At 53.5% G+C, this 19,231-nt stretch overlaps 1 protein-coding gene across 5 annotated transcripts in view; it reads right to left on the bottom strand.

Moving 5' to 3' along the window:
* The window catches only part of ZAN (zonadhesin), a 64,203-nt gene that overhangs the window by 19,881 nt on the left and 25,091 nt on the right, over positions 1–19,231 (bottom strand). For all 5 annotated transcript variants that reach the window (NR_111917.2, NR_111918.2, NR_111919.2 and 2 more), the window contains exons 18-34: positions 18,072–18,196; positions 17,381–17,526; positions 15,559–15,702; positions 14,001–14,111; positions 13,721–13,890; positions 12,363–12,565; positions 11,251–11,392; positions 10,660–10,907; positions 9,906–10,086; positions 9,196–9,307; positions 7,943–8,037; positions 5,897–6,073; positions 4,424–4,632; positions 4,052–4,196; positions 2,342–2,589; positions 2,084–2,248; positions 1,353–1,477 (exon numbers count right to left, since the gene is read on the bottom strand). Coding sequence is in view for 2 of the 5 variants with exons in the window: in NM_173059.3 (NP_775082.2) it covers positions 1,353–1,477; positions 2,084–2,248; positions 2,342–2,589; positions 4,052–4,196; positions 4,424–4,632; positions 5,897–6,073; positions 7,943–8,037; positions 9,196–9,307; positions 9,906–10,086; positions 10,660–10,907; positions 11,251–11,392; positions 12,363–12,565; positions 13,721–13,890; positions 14,001–14,111; positions 15,559–15,702; positions 17,381–17,526; positions 18,072–18,196 (2,746 nt within the window). In the remaining 3 variants the exon portion in view is untranslated. The remainder of the gene's footprint in view (positions 1–1,352; positions 1,478–2,083; positions 2,249–2,341; positions 2,590–4,051; positions 4,197–4,423; positions 4,633–5,896; positions 6,074–7,942; positions 8,038–9,195; positions 9,308–9,905; positions 10,087–10,659; positions 10,908–11,250; positions 11,393–12,362; positions 12,566–13,720; positions 13,891–14,000; positions 14,112–15,558; positions 15,703–17,380; positions 17,527–18,071; positions 18,197–19,231) is intronic.

Genomic DNA, 19,231 nt, shown 5'->3' with positions numbered 1-19,231 from the left:
CCAGAAGTCATCGCCCTCAAATCACACACACAAAGCAACATTCTGGCCTGTAATCCCAGCACTTTGGGGGGCCGAGGCGGGAGGATCATTTGAGCCCAGGAGTTTGAGACCAGCCTGGGCAAAAGTGGCAAGACCCTGTCTCTACAAAAAATTTAAAAATTGAAGAAGAAAAAAGGAACATTCTGGTCTTCCTGCCCCAGGTGTGCCCTACAGTCTGGCTCCCTAGCTCATGTTGCTATGAAAAGCTGGAGGGGTGGCCAGGCACAGTGGCTCATGCCTGTAATCCTAGCACTTTGGGAGGCTGAGTGGGGCGGATCACTTGAGGTCAGGAGTTCAAGGCCAGCCTGACCAACATGATGAAACTCCGTCTCTACCTAAAATACACAAATTAGCCAGACGTGGGGCGTGGTGGTGTGCACCTGTAATCCCAGCTACTCGGGAGGTTGAGGCACGAGAATTGCTTGAACCCCGGAAGCAGAGGTTGCAGTGAGCCAAGATTGCGCCACTGCACTCCAGCCTGGGTGACAGAGCAAAACTCCATCTCAAAAAGAAAAAGAAAAAAAGAAAAGCTAGAGGGTCCAGGTGCAGTCGCTCATGATTACCCAGCACTTCGGGAGGCCAAGGCGGCCACATTGCCTGAGGTCAGGAGCTCGAGACCAGCCTGGCCAATATGGTGAAACCCCGTCTCTGCTAAAAACTACAAAAAGTAGCCAGGCGTGGTGGCGGGTGCCTGTAATCCCAGCTACTTGGGAGGCTGAGGCAGGAGTATCACTTGAGCCCGGGAGGCGGAGGTTGCAGTGAGCCGAGATCATACCACTGCACTCCAGCCTGGGTGACAGAGCAAGATTCTGTCTCAGAAAAAAAAAGAACGAAAGAAAGGAGAGGGGCCGGGCGCGGTGGCTCACGCCTGTAATCCCAGCACTTTGGGAGGCCGAGGCGGGTGGATCACGAGGTCAGAAGATCGAGACCATCCTGGCTAACAAGGTGAAACCCCGTCTCTACTAAAAATACAAAAAATTAGCCGGGCGCGGTGGCGGGCGCCTGTAGTCCCAGCTACTCGGGAGGCTGAGGCAGGAGAATGGCGTGAACCCGGGAAGCAGAGCTTGCAGTGAGCCGAGATTGCGCCACTGCAGTCCGCAGTCCGGCCTGGGCGACAGAGCAAGACTCCGTCTCAAAAAAAAAAAAAAAAAAAAAAAAAGAAAGGAGAGGAAGAAAAGAAAGAGAAAGAGAGAAAGGAAGAAAGGAAGGAAGGGGAGGGGAGGGGAGGGGAGGGAAGGGAAGGGAAGGCAGAAAGAAAGAAAGACAAAGAAAGAAAAAGAAAGAAAACCTAGAGGGTCTTAGGGGACCACTACCTTGGGTCAATGTCCTTATCTTTCCAACTGTTCACAAATTCACTGTCACTATTTGCTACTTCATCGCTGGGCATCATTAGTTCGTCCTCTTCCTCATCATTGAAGTTCCCACACATGCCGCAGACCTGGCGGGGGAGAGTGGTTTTTCGGTGCTGGGGAAGCACGAGAACAGTTTTTCTCCCTTCCTTCCTTCTTTCCTTCCCTCACGAGAGCAGTTTTCCTCCCTCCCTCCCTCCCTCCCTCCCTTCCTTCAAGTTTCACTCTTGTCACCCAGCCTGGAGTGCAGTGGCATGATCTCAGCTCACTTCACTATCCGCCTCCCAGGTTCAAGCAACCCTCCTGCCTCAGCCTCCCGAGCAGCTGGGATTACAGGTGGGCACCACCACCCCCAACTAATTTTTTTTTTTATTTTTAATAGAGACGGGGTTTCACCATGTTGGCCAGGCTGGTCTCGACCTCCTGACCTCAGGTGACCCACCTGCCTCGGCCTCCCAGAGTGCTGAGATTACAGGCATGAGCCACCATGCCCGGGCAGAATGGTTTTTCCTGTTTTTTCCTGGAAACACTCTTGTCCACCCTACACAGAAAGGCGCACTCCTCCACTGCCCTGCTCCATCCTGAGGAGTGGCCTCTTTGGGCAGGCACGATGCGAACACTGCCCCCCATCCCTGCCGGCCACCAATCTCCCTGGGGCTGCCTCCCCAGCGAGAAGAGCCAGATGTTTTCCTCACCTTTCCATAGTAGGTTGTGGGGATTTCAATCTCTAAGAGATGATTCCCGTCAAACTTGACTTGCACCCCGATCTTGATGTTAACAATGCTGTAGATGCTGCTGGACTTGACACTGACCCCAGGGATCTGGGAGATGGCGGGGAGGGTGACCTGTTTGCTGTTGATCTAAACAGGAGGACAGTGACGGTGAGTAGGAGCAGGGACAAGAGTCCCCTCCCCAGCACTCCCTCCCAGCCCCGGTCACCACACCCAGCTCACTAGCACACGGTGGCCCTTCTGCAGGGTGACCTGGGCATCGTAGATGTCAATGTAGACCTCATGAAGGCGGAAAGCCTCAGTTCCACCTTCCTCCTTCTCATGCTTGGCACTGATCTTGAAGAAGGGCAAGGCCATGGCGGGGTGGCACACTTTCACCAGGACAAGAGTGCAGGCGTCCGGGATAGAATGGTTACTACCATCAAAGCTCACGTAGTGGGACTCCCCTGGGAGCTGACACACTCCCACACCTGGGAGGACAGAGAGACAGCTGGGCTATGACGCTCCTCTGGCAGGTACAGGGTCCCTGGGAAACTAGTCCTGGGTTCTCCCTGCCTTCCAGAAAAGAGTCAAGACCCCAGGTCCGGCTGTGCGCAGTGGCTCATGCCTGTAATCCCAGCACTTTGGGAGGCCAAGGTGGGCTGGTTTGATACCAGCCTGACCAACATGGTAAAAACCCGTCTCTACTAAAAAAAATACAAAAAAATTAGGGTGTGGTGACGTGTGCCTGTAATCTCAGCTACTTGGAAGGCTGAGGCAGGAGAATCGCTTGAACCAGGGAGATGGAGGTTGCAGTGAGCCGAGATTGCACCACTGCACTCCAGCCCAGGCAACAGAGACACTGCATCAAAAACAAACAAACAAACAAACAAACAAAAAACCCCAGGGCCAGGGCTAGGAGGCGTGGTGAGGTTTACGGGTGGAGGAGGGGCATGATTCTTTGGAGGAAGGATTTTTTTTTTTTTTATTTGAGACATGGTCTCTCTCTGTCACCCAGGCTGGAATGCAATGGCATATGGTCATAGCTCACTGCAGCCTCAAACTCCTGGGCTCAAGTGGTCCTCCTACCTCAGCCTCCAGAGTATCTGGGACTACAGGCATAAAGTACCCTATTCAACTAATTAAAAAAAATTTTTTTTAGAGACAGGGTCTTGTTCTGTTACCCAGGCTGGCATGCAGACTCTAATTCCTGGGCTCAAGAGATCCTCCTACCTCAGCCTCCCAAGTAGCAGGGACTACAGGTGCAATGTCTTTAATTTTACTTTTTAACTTTTTAGCTTTTATTTTTTTGTAGAGATGGGGTCTCACTATGTTGCCCAGGCTGGTCTTGAACTACTAGCCTCAAGTGATTCTCCCACTTCAGCTTCCCAAACCACTGGGATTACAGGCATGAGCCACCATGCCTGGCCTCCAGGAAAAGATTTATTTATTTAGAGACGGAGTTTTGTCGCCCAGGCTGGAGTGCAATGGCACGATCTCTGCTCACTGCAACCTCTGCCTCCTGGGTTCAAGCAATTCTCCTGCCTCAGCCTCTCGAGTAGCTGGGATTATAGGCTAATTTTTGTATTTTTAGTAGAGACGGGGTTTAGCCATGTTGGTCAGGCTGGTCTTGAACTTCTGGTCTCAAGTGATCCACCCGCCTTGGCCTTCCAAAGTGCTGAGATTACAAGTGTGAGCCATGGCGTCTGGCCCCAGGGAAGGATTTATAATATCCCATCTAAGTTGGTGGCCGCTACAGGAGAAGGATGGGTGAGCCCCAAGGTTCCCTTCTCAGCAGTTGGAGGTCATCTTACCCACCAGAAGCTCTTGGTTGCAGCAGAGTTACCAGTCAAAACCTGAAACCCAGTGCTACAGGCAGCAGGGAGTCTGTTGGGGAGTTGGGAGAGTGGGCCTCAGGGCTGTGGAGTCCCCCCATCACCGTGGTCCTCCTACCTGAGGCCCGACAATGGAGCAGCCCATCCAGGGCCCAGCATATCTGGTTGGGTTTGCAGGTGCTCTGGAAGCAGGTGATGTTGTTGTGGACGGAGCAGGTGCAGAGCCTGGTGCAGGTGTTCTCTGTGTACCAGCGCTCCCCGACCTGTGGGCCACAGGGATCAGCTGAGCCAACAGAAAGTTGGAATTGGGAGATGGGCCAACGCCCCAGTTGAAGCTGGGTGCAGCATCTGCCCTTCCTCCTCGCCCCCCAGCCTTGGCCAGCCCTGCCCCTCCCAGGTTCTGAGCCTTCCTCCTGCCTCTCCTGAGCTTGCCCTGACCCCAAACATGTGGGCCTGGAAAGGGCGGGGCCCCTCCTAGCTGGCCTCTCACCGGGTGGTAGGAGCCCGCTGGGTCAGTGCAGCCACACTGGCCAAGGGGCACGCAGGAGGTTCCACTCAAGATGTGGCCTTTCTGACATTCACAGCTCTCAGCACAGGGCAGTGCTTTGGGGCAGTCCCTCGGGTTGTTTATGCTGCTGCAGGTGTCTGGGCAGGGGCTGCTGCAGGGGCTGTAGCTGCTGCCAGGTGGGCACCTCATAGCTAAAGAAAATGAGAGCATTAGGAAGAGTGGGGTGGCATGTCCAGCCCCCAAACCTTGGGGCATCAAAAGCTCCTAGTAGTGGCCAGGAGCGGTAGCTCGCACATGTAATCCCAGCACTTTGGGAGGCCGAGGCAGGTGGATCACCTGAGGTCAGGAGTTCGAGAACAGGCTGGCCAACATGGTGAAAAACCGACTCTACTAAAAATACAAAAATTAGCCAGGCGTGGTGGCACACGCCTGTAGTCCCAGCTACTTGGGGTGGCACACGCCTGTAGTCCCAGCTACTTGGGTGGCTGAGACACGAGAATCTCTTGAACCTGAGAGGCAGAGGTTGCAATGAGGCGAGGTCAGACCACTGCACTCCAGCCTGGGCGACAGCGAGACTCTCAAAAGCAAAAAAAAAAAAAAACAAACAAAAAAAAAACAGACATAAAATCTACAATTTTAACAATTTTTTTTTTCTTGTAGACAGTCTCGCTCTGTCGCCCAGGCTGGAGTGCAGTGGCATGATCTTGGGTCACTGCAAGCTCCACCTCCCAGATTCACGCCATTCTCCTGCTTCAGCCTCCCGAGTAGCTGGGACTACAGGCGCCCACCACCACGCCTGGCTAATTTTTTGTATTTTTGGTAGAGACGGGGTTTCTCCGTGTTAGCCAGGATGGTCTCGATCTCCTGACCTCGTGATCCACCTGCCTCGGCCTCCCAAAGTGCTGGGATTACAGGCATGAGCCACCGCGCCCGGCAACAATTTTTTAAATGTACACTTCAACAGCACTAAGTACAGTCACATTGTCGTGCTGCCATTACCACCATCTACTGCCAGAACTTTTTGTTTTGTTTTGTTTTTCACTCTTGTTTTTTGTTTCACTCTTGTTGCCCAGGCTGGAGTGCAGTGGTGTGATCTCGGCTCACTGCAACCTCTGCCTCCCAGGTTCAAGCGATTCTCCCACCTCAGCCTCTTGAGTAGCTGATTACAGGTGCTTGCCACCACACCTGGCCAAGTTTTGTATTTTTAATAGAGACGGGGTTTCACCATGTTGACCAGGCTGGTCTCCAACTCCTGACCTCAGGTGATTCACCCATCTTGGCTTGAACACAGGAGGTAGAGGTTGCAGTGAGCCGAGATTGCGCCACTGCACTCCAGCCTGGGCAACAGAGTGAGACTCCGTCTCAAAAAAAAAAAAAAGAATTTAGAGGAAGAAAGGGAGGGCAGAATTCTGGAGGGTGCCTATGGGCTGTGGGAACAGGTGGCCAGTCACTCACGGCAGAAGGTTCTGTTCCGCCAGGCAGGGGCCTGGCCAGCCTGGGCACACAGGGACGCGTAGGCCTGCAGGGAGCGGCACAGGGCTGTGGTGTCGCCCTTGGTCCCACACTGACCATGCACGCAACTGGCAAAGCTGGACTGGGGAGGCACCACCTGGTGACATTGAGAGAAGGGTCCTGCAGGAAGAGAGAAGGCAGATGAGCCAGGGGAGGGGCCGGGAAGGAACAGGGCCATGTGGCTTCCCTGGGGCTGATTCGACATCCACTTCAGTCAAAACCTGGATTTTCCCGCCAGGCACAGTGGCTCACACCTGTAATCCCAGCACTTTGGGAGGCCGAGGTGGGCAGATCACTTGAGGTCAGGAGTTTGAGACCAGCCTGACCATCATGGTGAAACCCAATCTCTACTAAAAATACAAAAATTAGCAGGGCATAGTAGAGGGCACCTGTAGTCCAGGCAACTCGGGAGGTTGGGGCAGGAGAATCTCTTGAACCCAGGAGGCAAAGGTGGCAGTGAGCTGAGATTGTGCCATTGCACTCCAGCCTGGGCAACAGATCAAGACTCCGTCTCAAAAAAAAAAAACAAAAAAAAAACCTCCTGGATTTTCCAGCCTGAGCAATACAGTGAAACTGTGTCTGTACAAAAATTAGCCGGCCATGGTGGTGCACACCTGTAGTCCCAGCTACTCAGCAGGCTGAGGCAGGAGGATGAGCTATGATTGTGCCATTGCACTCCAACCTGGGTAACAGAGAATATAAACAAAACAAACAAACAAAACCCAGATTTGTGTGGTGGCTCCCGCCTATAACCTCAGCACTTTAGGAGGGCAAAGCAGGAGAATCACTTGAGCCCAGGAGTTCAAGACCAGCCTGGGCTGCATAGCAAGACCTCATCTCCAGAAAATATTTAAAAATTAGGCCAGGCATGATGGCTCATGCCTTTAATACCAGCACTTTGGGAGGCCAAGGCAGGTGGATCATTTGAGGTCAGGAGTTCAAGATCAGCCTGGCCAACATGGTGAAATGTTGTCTCTACTAAAGATACAAAAACTAGCCGGGTGTGGTGGCACAGGCCTGTAATCCCAGCTACTTGGGAAGCTGAGGTGGGAAAATAGCTTGCGCCTGGGAGGCAGAGGTTGCAGTGAGCTGAGATCACACCATTGCACTCCAGCCTGGGCAACAGAGTGAGAAAAAAAAAATTAGTTGGGCATGGTGGTGCATGCCTGTGGTCCCAGCTACTCTGAAGGCTGAGGCGGGAGGATTACTTGAGCCCAGGAGTTCAAGCCTGCAGTGAGCTGTGATCGTGCCACTGCACTCCAGCCTGGGCAACAGAGTGAGACCTTGTCTCTAAAAAACAAGAAAAAAGAAAAAACGGCCAGGCGTGGTGGCTTATGCCTGTCATCCCAACTACTTGGGAGGCCAAGGGGGAGGATCCCTTGGGGTCCATAGTTCGAGAACAGCCTGGGCTACATAGTGAGACTCCCCCATCTCTATTAAACTTTTTTTTTTTTTTTTTTGAGACAGAGTCTCACTCTGTCGCCCAGGCTGGAGTGCAGTGGCGAAATCTCGGCTCACTGCAACCTCTGCCTCCCAGGTTAAAGCGATTCTTCTGCCTCAGCCTCCCAAGTAGCTGGGACTACAGGTGCCCGTCACCAGGCCCAGCTAATTTTTTGTATTTTTAGTAGAGACGGGGTTTCACCATGCTAGCCAGGCTGGTCTCGAACTCCTGACCTCGGGATCTGCCCTCCTCGGCCTCCCAAAGTACTGGGATTACAGGCATGAGCCACTGCGCCCAGCCTATTAAAACATTTTTAATAGGAAAAAAAAAAAGAAATCCCGGATTTATCTACTGCCTGAGACACAAATACAGACCCATCAGTCATAGGTCCCAAGAAGGTGACTGCTGGCTGGCCCTGTGTTCCCATTTGCCTTCCTCATGCTTTTCCATCTGTTTCTGGTCTTGTTGTTTCTCCCTCCCTGACTAGACTCCCTCCCCAGCCTCCTGTCCTTCAGGGAGGAAAAAGGGCCAGCAGGGACATGTCTTACCCTGAGGGTTTATTAAGATCGCACAGTTCTTGTTCCAGGCGTCTGCCATGCTGTTCTCCTGGCAGCTGGAGGGCTTGCCACCCACAAGGAAACAGCTAAATGAGAGAGAATAGAAACTGAGGGCTACAGGTTGGGTGCAGTGGCTCATGCCTATAATCCCAGCACTTTGGGAAGCCAAGGCAGGAGGATCGCTTGAGACCAGAAGTTCAAGACCAGCCTGGGCAACATAGTGAGATCCTATCTCTACACAAAATTTTTAAAAATTAGCCGGGCGTGGTGGCATGTGCCTATAGTCCCAGCTACTCAGGAGGCTGTGGTGGGAGGATGGCTTGAGCCCAGCAGTTGGAGGCTTCAGTGAGCTATGATTGCACCACTGCACTCCAGCCTGGGCAACAGAGCAAGACCCTGTCTCAAGAAAAGAAAAGAAAAAAAGGAAAGGAAAGGAAAGGAAGAAGGAAGAAAGGAAGGAAGAAAGGGAAGAGAAGGAAAGGAAAGGAAAGAAAAGAAAAGAAAAAAAAAGACAAGACAAGACCTGAGGGCCTGAGGAACCATCTCCCAAACCGAAGCAAAAGTGGACAGGGGGCTGTGTGCAGTGGCTCACACCTGTAATCCCAGCACTTTGGGAGGCCAAGGCAGGCAGATCACCTGAGGTCAGGAGTTTGAGACTAGCCTGGCCAACACGGAGAAGCGCTGTCTCAAATAAAAATACAAAAATTAGCCGGGCGTGGTGGCGAGTGCCTGTAATCCCAGCTACTTGGGAGGCTGAGGCAGGATAATCACTTGAACCTGGGAGGCGGAAGTTGCAGCGAGCTGAGATCGTGCCACTGCACTCCAGCCTGGGTGACAGAGCGTGACTCTGTCTCAAAAACAACAAAACAAAACAAAACAAAAAGTGGACAGGGAAAGAGAGAGGGATACAGGAGAAGAGGACAAAACGGTGCCCTCAAGTAGCAAGGCAAGGAGATGCAGCAGGAAGGAAAAAGGCTAGACCTCAGGGTGAACTTCCCAAGTGGGCCCTCCAAAGAGATCACTAAGCATGGGAGAAATCAGCAGGCGTGGGCGTGGGAAGTCAGAACAGCTTCTTACCAACTCCAATCTTGGAGAGTCTAAACAGGAGAGATTGCCAGTTTCCTGCCAGTTGGGAGGTACAGCACAGAGGGAGTGGGGACACACAGAGGACACTTCCAAGCTGCCCCCCGAGGCCCTTCCCAGGCCCAGCCCCTCCTGCCTGGCTCCCCTGACCCCCAGCTCACCCAGGTTCAGAGGATTCAGGTAACTTCCAGGCGGCCCCCAGCTGCATGGAATCGCCTGCAAGCTTTCTGTCGGGGCGCAGGTTGTCATCCAAGCTGTTGTTGTTGTAGTTCCCTAGAGGAGGGAGTCATTAAAACAGGCAAGAAGGGGCCCCCCAGCAGGCCAGGCCCCAGGGCCACCATCCTCCTGGCACCCTCACTTTTCATTCTACATAGCAAGGTTAACCCTTTCTGTCTCTTTTTCTTCTTTTTTGAGATGGAGTCTTGCTCTGACACCCAGGCTGGAGTGCAGTGGCGCGATCTCAGCTCACTGCAACGTCCACCTCCCAGGTTCAAGCGATTCTCCCGCGTCAGCCTCCCAAATAGCTGGGATTAAAGGCATGCACCACCATGCCTGGCTAATTTTTGTATTTTTAGTAGAGACAGGTTTTTGCCATGTTGGCCAGGCTGGTCTCGAACCCTTGACCTCAAGTGATCCACCCTCCTCGGGCTCTCAAAGTGTTGCATTTACAGGTATGAGCCACCGCGCCTGGCCCCTTTCTGTCTCTTCATCTCCGTCTTCCCTTAACTCCTACCTTCATGCCTAATGTCCTCAACGAATTAGTCAGTTGACAAGTACTTAGAACACCTCACAGAGATGTTGGGGGAGCTGGGACCAGGTCACACGCCTACTCATTGTCCCAGCTTTCCCCGCAGGTGCCCAGGAAACTCACCACACAGCCCACAGAGCTGGCCGCCATAGGAGGAGGGGACTGTCACTTCCACCAAGTGGCTCCCGTCGTAGCGAACTTGGAGCCCAAAGTTCGTGTAGAGGAGGACGAGGTTGCTGCTGAGCCTTATGGTCACCCGGCCTTGTGCAAGCCACACAGGTAGGGCCACCCGATGGCCATTCAGCTGCAGAGGCAGGGAGGACGTAGAAAGGAGAGTCAGGAAAGAACTCGGGATAAAGGCAAGGACGGGGGCTCATGCCTGCAAACCCAGCACTTTGGGAGGCCGAGGCGGAGGATCGCTTGAGCCCAGGATCTCGAGATCAGCCTGGGCAACATGGAGAAAGCCCGTCTCTACAAAAAGTGAAAAAAAAAATTAGCCGTGCAGGTGGTGCATGCCTATAGTTGCAGCTACTTAGGAGGCCGAGGTGGGAGGATCACTTGAGCCCAGGGGGTCAAGGCCACAATAAGCTATGATCGCACCACTGCACTCCAGCCTGGGTGATAGAGCAAGACCCTGTCTCAAAAAAAAAAAAAAAAAAAAAAAAAACGGCAAAAAACTGGGAGCAGGAGGGGCTGGTGCTGGTGGGTATTTCACAGAGGGAGGAGGGAGTCCAGAGAAGAGGGTCTGGGTCAGCTGCAGGTGCTTCCCAGGTGCTCTAAGGAGCCAGAGAGGTGGGCATCCGGGCAAGGAGGGGCACAGGAGAGAAGCAAGCAGGCTGGGTGTTCAGGGTCCAGGAGGCAGGAGGAAGACACCCACCATGACCTTACAGCCTCTGAGCAGTGAGATGCTGAGGTCAAAGACTGTCACGTGGACGGCTTTGATGTAGGAGACCTCCAGGATCCCCCCGCGGTTCTCGTTGGTGGCGCTCACAACAAAATAGCTGTCTTGGGACCTGGACCAGCAAGGCCGGGTCAGGACATAGGTGCAGGTGCCCATGAAGTGGTGCAAGGCGCCATCGAAGGTCAGGTAGTGGGGGTCACCCGAGGCTGTGCAGGTGGCGGCACCTGTGGAGAAGAAGATGGAGTTCACAGTCTCACTCCTCCATGCCCCGGAAGCTTTGACTCAGAGCTGCCATCCTGGAGAGCCCACATTGGCATGGTCCCCACGGCCCACCCACAGATGTGGTGTTTCCCTAGGAAGTGTGGTTGGCTTGGCTTGGAGCTGCCTAAGAGAAACACTGACGTCCCCAACCTCACCCTTTGGGTCCCTGAAAATGCTGCCCCTGCTGCCCCTCCCAGGCCCTGGTGGAGACTCAGCTGTCTGGGGAAGCTGCTTTGGGCAGGACCCATCACCTTGCCTGGTGTTGCCTGGGCAGCCCCCAGCTCACCTTCCACCCTGATGGCTCACCTTGGGCATGGCAGCCATAGATACCATCCTGTTGGCCACAGAACTCCTGGGCCCTACACCTCCAGGGCTGGCAGCGAATTCTGTTGTTGCTTTCACAGACGCACAACTCTTTGCAGCCTGGCTTGTACCACCGCTCCCCTACCTGGGGAAGACAGCAGGGAAGGAAGAGAAAGTGTTTTTTTTTGCTTTGTTTTGTTTTTTCCCAGATCTGACACCAGAGCTCACCAGAGCTGTTCAGATCACTGGCTTAATAGTGGGGAGACATCCTCTCTTCCTGAAGCTCCGAGATTCGCTGCAAAAGCTTGGCATCCATTCGTTTTTTCAGTCACTACATCATTTCTGGGTCTGTTCATCATTTCAACCAAAATTGATCTATCCGAGGCCAGGTGTGGCGGCTCACGCCTGTGATCCCAGCACTTTGGGAGGCCAAGGCGGGTGGATCACTTGAGGTCAGGAGTTTGAGACCAGCCTGGCCAACATGGAGAAACCCCATCTGTACTAAAAATACAAAAATTAGCCTGGCGTGGTAGTGCACGCCTGTAATCCCAGCTACTTGGGAGGCTTAGGCGGGAGAATCGCTTGAACCTGGGAGGCGGAGGTTGCAGTGAGCTGAGACCGTGCCACTGCACTCCAGCCCGGACAACAGATCGAGACTCTGTCTCAAAAAAAAAACAAAAACCAAAAACAACAACAAAAAACCAAAAAACAAGGGCCAGGCATGGTGGCTCATGCCTGTAATCCCAGCACTTTGGGAGGCCCAGGTGGGCAGATCACAAGGTCAAGAGATCAAGACCATCCTGGCCAACATGGTGAAACCGCCCCCTACCCCGTCTCTACTAAAAATACAAGAATTAGCTGGGCATGGTGGTGCATGCCTGTAGTCCCAGCTACTCGGGAGGCTGAGGCAGGAGAATCACTTGAACCCAGGAGGCGGAAGTTGCAGTGAGCCGAGATCGTGCCACTGCACTCCAGCCTGGCGACAGAGCAAAACTCCGTCTCAAAAACAAAACAAAACAAGAAACGAAAAGAAAAGAAAGAGCTTGCAGGGGGTGTGAGAGCAGGGAGCAGGCCCTTTCTAGCTGCAGGGCTGAGAGGTCCACGCAGCCGCTCACCTTGAAGTAGCTGCCTGCAGGGTGGAGGCACCCACACTGGGAGCGAGGTATGCACTCGAGGCCACTGAGGACGAAGCCCGGATTGCATTCACAGGCCTCCACGCACCGGTCTGAGCAGAACATGCCGGAGAATCCTGAATGGCAGGTGTCAGGGCATGGCTTCGCACACAGGGAGTACTTGCTGTTGGGCGGGCAGGCCATTGCTGGTGGAGGGAGAAGCTTGGGTGAGAAGGAGACGAACAAGCCACGGGGCTGGGTGGGAAACAGGAAGGACACGTTCGGAAGGGCCCCAGCTCCAGGCTTCTGGCCAATCTCGAGAAGAGAGAGTGACTGTGAGAAGCTTCCCCAAGGAGCCTGGCTGGCTCCCTGGGGCTGCAGGGCCAGCACTAAGGCGCCGGCCCTGAGAGACTTAGATAGACCTATGGTGGGAGCAGATGGACCCACCACTGGCAGCGCTGCTGTGTAGACATGCCCCAGGTGAGCTGTTGGCCCGCAGGGGACCGGGGCCACCTGTGAGGTCTGAGTCAGGGGATAGGCCTGCCCTAAAGCAGCTTCCCCAAAGAGCTGGGCCACACCAGGAGCTGGGAGGCAGCCTCGTTGCCTCCCCTGCCTAGGGCCTGTACCGTGTGCCTGCGTGTGATGACTTGGGCTGCACAGAAACACTTTTTTTTTTTTAAAGACAGAGTTTCGCTCTCACTGCCCAGGCTGTAGTGCAGTGGCGCAATCTCTGCTTACTGCAACCTCCACCTCCCGGGTTCAAGCGATTTTCCTGCCTCAGCCTCCCAAGTAGCTGGGATTACAGGCGCCCGTTGCCACACACAGCTAATTTTTGTATATTTATTTATTTATTATTTTTATTATTTTTTGAGATGGAGTCTCATTCTGTCACCCAGGCTGGAGTGCAGTGGTGCAATCTCGGCTCACTGCAACCTCCGCCTCCCAGGTTCAAGCAATTCTCCTGCCTCAGCCTCCAAGTAGCTGGGATTACAGGTACCCGTTGCCACACACAGCTAATTTCTGTATTTTTATTTATTTATTTATTTATTTTATTTTATTTTTTGAGATGGAGTCTCACTCTGTCGCCCAGGCTGGAGTGCAGTGGCGCAATCTCGGCTCACTGCAACCTCTGCCTCCCGGGTTCAAGCGATTCTCCTGCCTCAGCCTCCAGTGTAGCTGGGACTACAGGCATATGCCACCATGCCTGGCTAATTTTGGTATGTTTAGTAGAGACGGGGTGTTGGCCAGGCTGGTCCCAAACTCCTGATCTCATGATCCACCTGCCTCGGACTCCCAAAGTGCTGGGATTATAGGTGTGAGCCACCGTGCCCGGCCTCTCCTCTGAGTTTGGCACAACTCACGGCAGAAGTGGGGTTCCCTCCAGGGCTTCACAGCGTGGCCTGCGTCCTGGCAGGTGGTGGTCATGGTGGACATGTGTGTGCACAGCAGGTGCTGCAGCCCCTGGAATCCGCACATATCAAGCATGCAGCTGTCGAAGAAGGAAGCGGCCTTCACGTGCAGCAGGCATGTCCTGAGGGGAGTGACCAAGTCAGGGGGAATGCAGTGGAAGGGGGTAGAGCCTTGGAGGAGCCCAGGTGCCAAGCATCGCCCCTGTGCGACCCTGCCTGCCCTCCTTCATACTCAAATGGGCCATGAGTGTCGACCAGCCGTCCACAGAACCCTGGCCCCGACATGCTGCTCTGCAGAGATGAATCACAAGACGGGGAATTCACCACCTGGTACTTCTGACACCTGCAAGAGACCCACCCCAAACTCCCTAAAGACAAAGCTCGCTTCCAGCTCATCCCTAACCCAGCAGGCAGCAAGGCTGGCAGGCCGGGACCGGCAAACCAGCCTGTCAGCTGGGAAACCCCTCCCAGAGGATGTTTGACCACTGAGCCCTGGCCAGGCACTGTGGGAGGCCGAGGCAGGGAGAATTGCTTGAGCCCAGGAGTTCCAGGCCAGCCTGGGTAACACACTGAGATCCCATCTCTTTAAAAATAAATATGAAATTATTTATTTCATATTTCATATGGCGCACGTCCATAGCCCCAGCTACTCAGGAGGCTGAGGTGAGAGAATCTGTTGAGCCCAGGAGTTGGAGCCTGCAGTGAGCTGTGATTGAACCACTGCACTCCAGCCTGGGCGACAGAGCAAGGCCCTGTCTCTAAAAACAAACAAACAAACAAACAAAAAAGAATATTGAGCAACTGAAAGAACAACTTGAAGTCTCCAGGGTAGAGAGGAGAAAGGGGCAATGCCAGTCATTTTTTAAAGGGAGGGCACAGGCTGGGTGTGGTGGTGATGCCTGTAATCCCGGCATTTTGCATTTTGGGAGGCCAGGGCAGGTGAATCACCTGAGGTCAGGAGTTCGAAACCAGCCTGGCCAACATGATGAAACCCCGTCTCTACTAAAAATACAAAAATCAGACAGGTGTGGTGGCATGTGCCTATAATCTCATTGGGATTGAGGCGTGAGAATCACTTGAGCCCAGGAGGCAGAGGTTTCAGTGAGCTGAGATTGCACAACTACACTCTAGCCTGGGTGACACAGCAAGACTCCATCTCAAAAAAAAAAAAAAAAACCGTTGGGGAGGGCCAGCAGCCTGGTCAACCCCCCATCTGGTGAGAACCCCATGTCTACCAAAAAATTTTGTTAAAGTTAGCTGGGCATGGTGTAGTCCAAGCTACTTGGGAGGCAGAGAAGGGAGGATTGCTTGAGCTCAGGAGTTTGAGGCTGCAGTAAGCCACGATCGTGCCATTGCACTCCAGCTTGGAAGACAGAGGGAGATCCCATCTCAAAAAAAAAAAAAGGGCGGGTGGAGGGCTGGACGTGGTGGTGTGGTGGCTCACACCTGTAATCCCAGAACTTTGAGAGGCCAAGGCAGGTGGATCACTTGAGGCCAGGAGTTTGAGACCAGCCTGGCCAGCATGGTGAAACCCCATCTCTACAAAAATACTAAAATTAGCTGTGTGTGGTGGCAGGTGCCTGTAATCCCAGCTACTCGGGAGACTGAGGCAGGATAATTGCTTGAGCCTGGGAGGCGGAGGTTGCAGTGAGCTGAGATCGCACCACTGCACTCCAGCCTAAGCGACAGAAGGAGACTCCATCTCAAAAAAAAAAAAAAAAAAAAAAAAGAGAGTTCCAGGAAGGGGACGGAACCTTCCCAGGGCCCCGGTGGGAGGGCTCCTTGCTCACTCCTGGTCCTCGTCCTGGTCCGTCTGCCAGCTGTTCCCCAGCTCCTCCTTGTCTCCTGCTGGGCTGCCGTCCAACTTCAGGTGGTCATTGTCACTGTTGCCGTCATAGTTCCCACACAAACCACAGAGTTTGCCAGAGTATGTGCTAGGGGAACAGGAGAGGAGCTGGCGTTAATGGAGAGAAGCAGCCTCGGTCCTCGAGGGGCAGTGGCAGAGAAGGCAAGGAGCTGGGATCCTAAAACAGAGGGCGTGAGGAGGATGAAGAGGTGCGGACTGGACAAGAGGACCCCATGGCCCTCCCCCAAGCCTCCTTCCCCTCTGTTCATTGTCCAGCCACAGCAAACCCCTTGCTGGCCCTAAAACACTCCCACTTTATTTATTTATTTATTTATTTATTTATTTATTTATTTATCCTTTTTTTCAGATGGAGTCTCTCTCCGTCACCTAGGCTAGAGGGCAGTGGTGCAACCTCGGCTCACTGCAACCTCCACCTCCCGGGTTCTAGTGATTCTCCTGCCTCAGCCTTCCGAGTAGCTGGGATTACAGGCACACACCACCACGCCCAGCTAATTTTTTTGTATTTTTAGTAGAGATGGGGTTTCACCATGTTGGCCAGGCTGGTCTCAAACTCCTAATCTGCCTGCCTTGGCCTCCCAGAGTGCTGGGATTACAGGTGTCAGCCACCGTGCCTGGCCAAATTATTTATTTATTTTTTTATTTATTTTAGAGATAGGGTCACCCTCTGTGGCTCAGGCTGGAGCACAGTGGTGCAATCTCGGCTCACTGCAGCCTCCAACTCCTGGGTTCAAGCGATTCTCCCACCTCAGCCTCCTGAGTAGCTGAGACTACAGGCAAGTACCACCACGAGAAGCTAATTTTTTTTTAAGAGACAGGATCTCACTATGTTGTCCAGGCTGGTCTGGAACTCCTGGCCTCAAGTGATCCTCTTGCTTCGGCCTCCCAGCATGCTGAGATTATAGGTGCAGGCCACTACGCCTGGCTAATATTTAAATTTTTTTGTGGAGATATGGTCTCACTATGTTGCCCAGGCTGGTCTGGAATTCCTGGCCCCAAGGGATTCTCCCGTCTCAGCCTCCCAAAGTTCAGGGCTACAGGCGGGAACCCCTGCACCTGGCCTCTATAAAGTATTTTTATAAAGTCTTTCTTTCGCCGGGCACAGTGGCTCCCCTGTAATTCCAAGACTTTGGGAGGCCGAGGCAGGAGGATCGCCTGAAGTCAGGAGTTCGAGACAAGCCTGGGCAACATGATGAAATCCCATCTCTACTAAAAACAAAAATTAGCTGGGCATGGTGGTGTGCGCCTGTAATCCCAGCTACTTGGGAGGCTGAGGCAGGAGAATTGCTGAACCTGGGAGGCAGAGGTTGCAGTGAGCCGAGATAGCACCACTGCACTCCAGCCTAGGGAACAGAGCGAGAGATCCTGTCTCAAAAAAAAGAAGAAGAAGAATCTTGCTTTCCCTTGTTTTGTCCATCTGGGGAGCCACTCTTCCTTCGAGAATGGGACCAGGTGACTGCCCTTCAGAAAGCCTCCAGAACTCACTAGTGCTCCTTCTAGCACATTCCCAAAGCATGTACATCCATCCTGCTATCTATCACATGCCCCGAAACCATTTTCTCCTGTCTCCTGGTCCAAAGGGATCCCTGCCACTTAAGCAGGGTGCTTCCCATCCGTGAATGCATAAAGGATCAAGTAGTGGTGCCAGGGATGGAAGGGGAGTGGGCAGGGTGGGCAGCAGGAAGAAGAGGCAGCAGGAAGAGGCAGCAGGAAGAAGTGGCAGCTGCCTGGCTGGGACACTGCCTTACCTGGACACAGTAACATACAGCTGCTGGTCACCATCCCATCTCACCCGCAAACCGAACTCCGTCTGCAGCTCCACAAACCGCCCGCTTGCACCCAGGAAGACGCCTTTAGAGGGTATGGCTGGGAGAGTAACTTGCTGACCCCCAACCTGGAAGGCAGGGCAGAGGCAAGAGACAGACAGAGCTGGGGGTCAAGGAGGACCCCAGCAGACTTTCATTTCCATAGCTGGGAGGCAGGACACCATCCACAGCGGCCTAACAATCTCATCCACCAGGAGTGGACTGGAGCTTCCTCACCACTGTTTTGTTTTTGTTTTTGTTTTTAGGAGACAGTGTCTTACTATGTTGCCTAGGCTGGAGTGCAATGGTGCAATCACAGCTCACTGCAGCCTCGACCTCCCAGGCTCCAGCAATCCTCCCACCTCAGCCTCTGGAGTAGAGGGGACAACAGGCAAGTGCCACCACACCAGGCTAATTTTTTCTATTTTTTAAGAGACAGGGTCTTGCTATCTTGCCCAGGCTGGCTTCAAACTCCTGGCCTCAAGCAATCCTCCCACTTTAGCCTCCCAAGGAGCTGGGATTGCAGGTCACTGTCTTGTTGAACCCCATCCGTGGAAAGGTTCAGGGATTGGAAGGGTTGGCCAGGACACACAGTCAGACCCTGCAAGGATGGTGGGGGTGGAATGGGGCTCACCAGAGTGCGTCTGCCCTTAAGCAGGGTGACGGTGCTCTCGGGCAGGGTCACGTAGACTTTGCTCAGGCAGGACACGCCTTCCTGTCCCTGCTCCTCATTCTTGGCTGTCACCCTGAAGAATGGGTCTGGGTAGGGAGAGGAATGAAGAGAGCCCAGTGGCTCATTTCTGAACATCTGCCGCGAGCAGTGCCCTGAGCCTGGCGCCGCAGGGAGAGATGAGCGCCACCGAGACACCAGCCCCAAAGTCCAGTAGGGGAGGCCGGATCCACACAGGAGCAGACCACGACTGCCTCTTCCAGAAGAGCCTGCAGCCGCAGCGTGTCTGTCTCCACTCAGTGGCTGGAACATCCTCCAGGGCGTCTGTGCTCCCTAACCACTACCACTGCCTTCTTTGCTTTTTTGTTTTTAACTTCATTTATGTGTGTATTTATTTATTTTTCGAGACAAGATCTCACTTTGCTACCCAGGCTGGAGTGCAGTGGTGTGATCATAGCTCACTGCAGCCTCCAACTCTTGGGCTCAAGCGATCCTCCTGCCTCATCCTCCCGACTAGCTGGGACTATAGGTGTGTCCCACCATACCCAGCTGATTTTTTAATTTTTTTTTTTTTCTGAGACAGAGTTTTGCTCTTGCTGCTTAGGCTAGAGTGCAGGAGTGCAGTGGCTCGATCTTGGCTCACTGCAACCTCCGCCTCCCAGGTTCAAGCAATTCTCCTGCCTCAGCCTCCCAAGTAGCTGGGATTACAGGTGCCTGCCACCAAGCCTGGCTAATTTTTTATATTTTTAGTAGAGACGGGGTTTCACCATGTTGACCAGGCTGGTCTCAAACTCCTGACCTCAGGTGAACCCCCCACCTCGGCTTCCCAAAGTGTTGGGGTTACAGGCGTGAGCCACTGAGCCCGGCCTGATTTTTAATTTTTTTTTTCATGGAGATGAGAGTCCTGCTGTGTTGCCTAGGCTGGTCTCAATCTCCTGGATTCAAGTGATCCTCCTGCCTCAGCCTCCCAAAGTGCTGAGGTTACCAGTGTGAGTCACTGTGCCTGGCCTTCAACCCTCACCTTACAGAAGAACTTGCTCCTATCTTGCCTCTTCCCCCATCTGTGCCCTGCCCCTTCCTGCCACCCACCATGCCCCATGCCTAGCAGCGCTGCCCACAGACCC

Source organism: Homo sapiens, chromosome 7 (genome assembly GCF_000001405.40).
Source record: "Homo sapiens chromosome 7, GRCh38.p14 Primary Assembly".
NCBI lineage: Eukaryota > Metazoa > Chordata > Mammalia > Primates > Hominidae > Homo > Homo sapiens.
The sequence above is the reverse complement of the archived record's forward strand: the minus strand, read 5'-3'. Positions and strand labels throughout refer to the sequence as shown.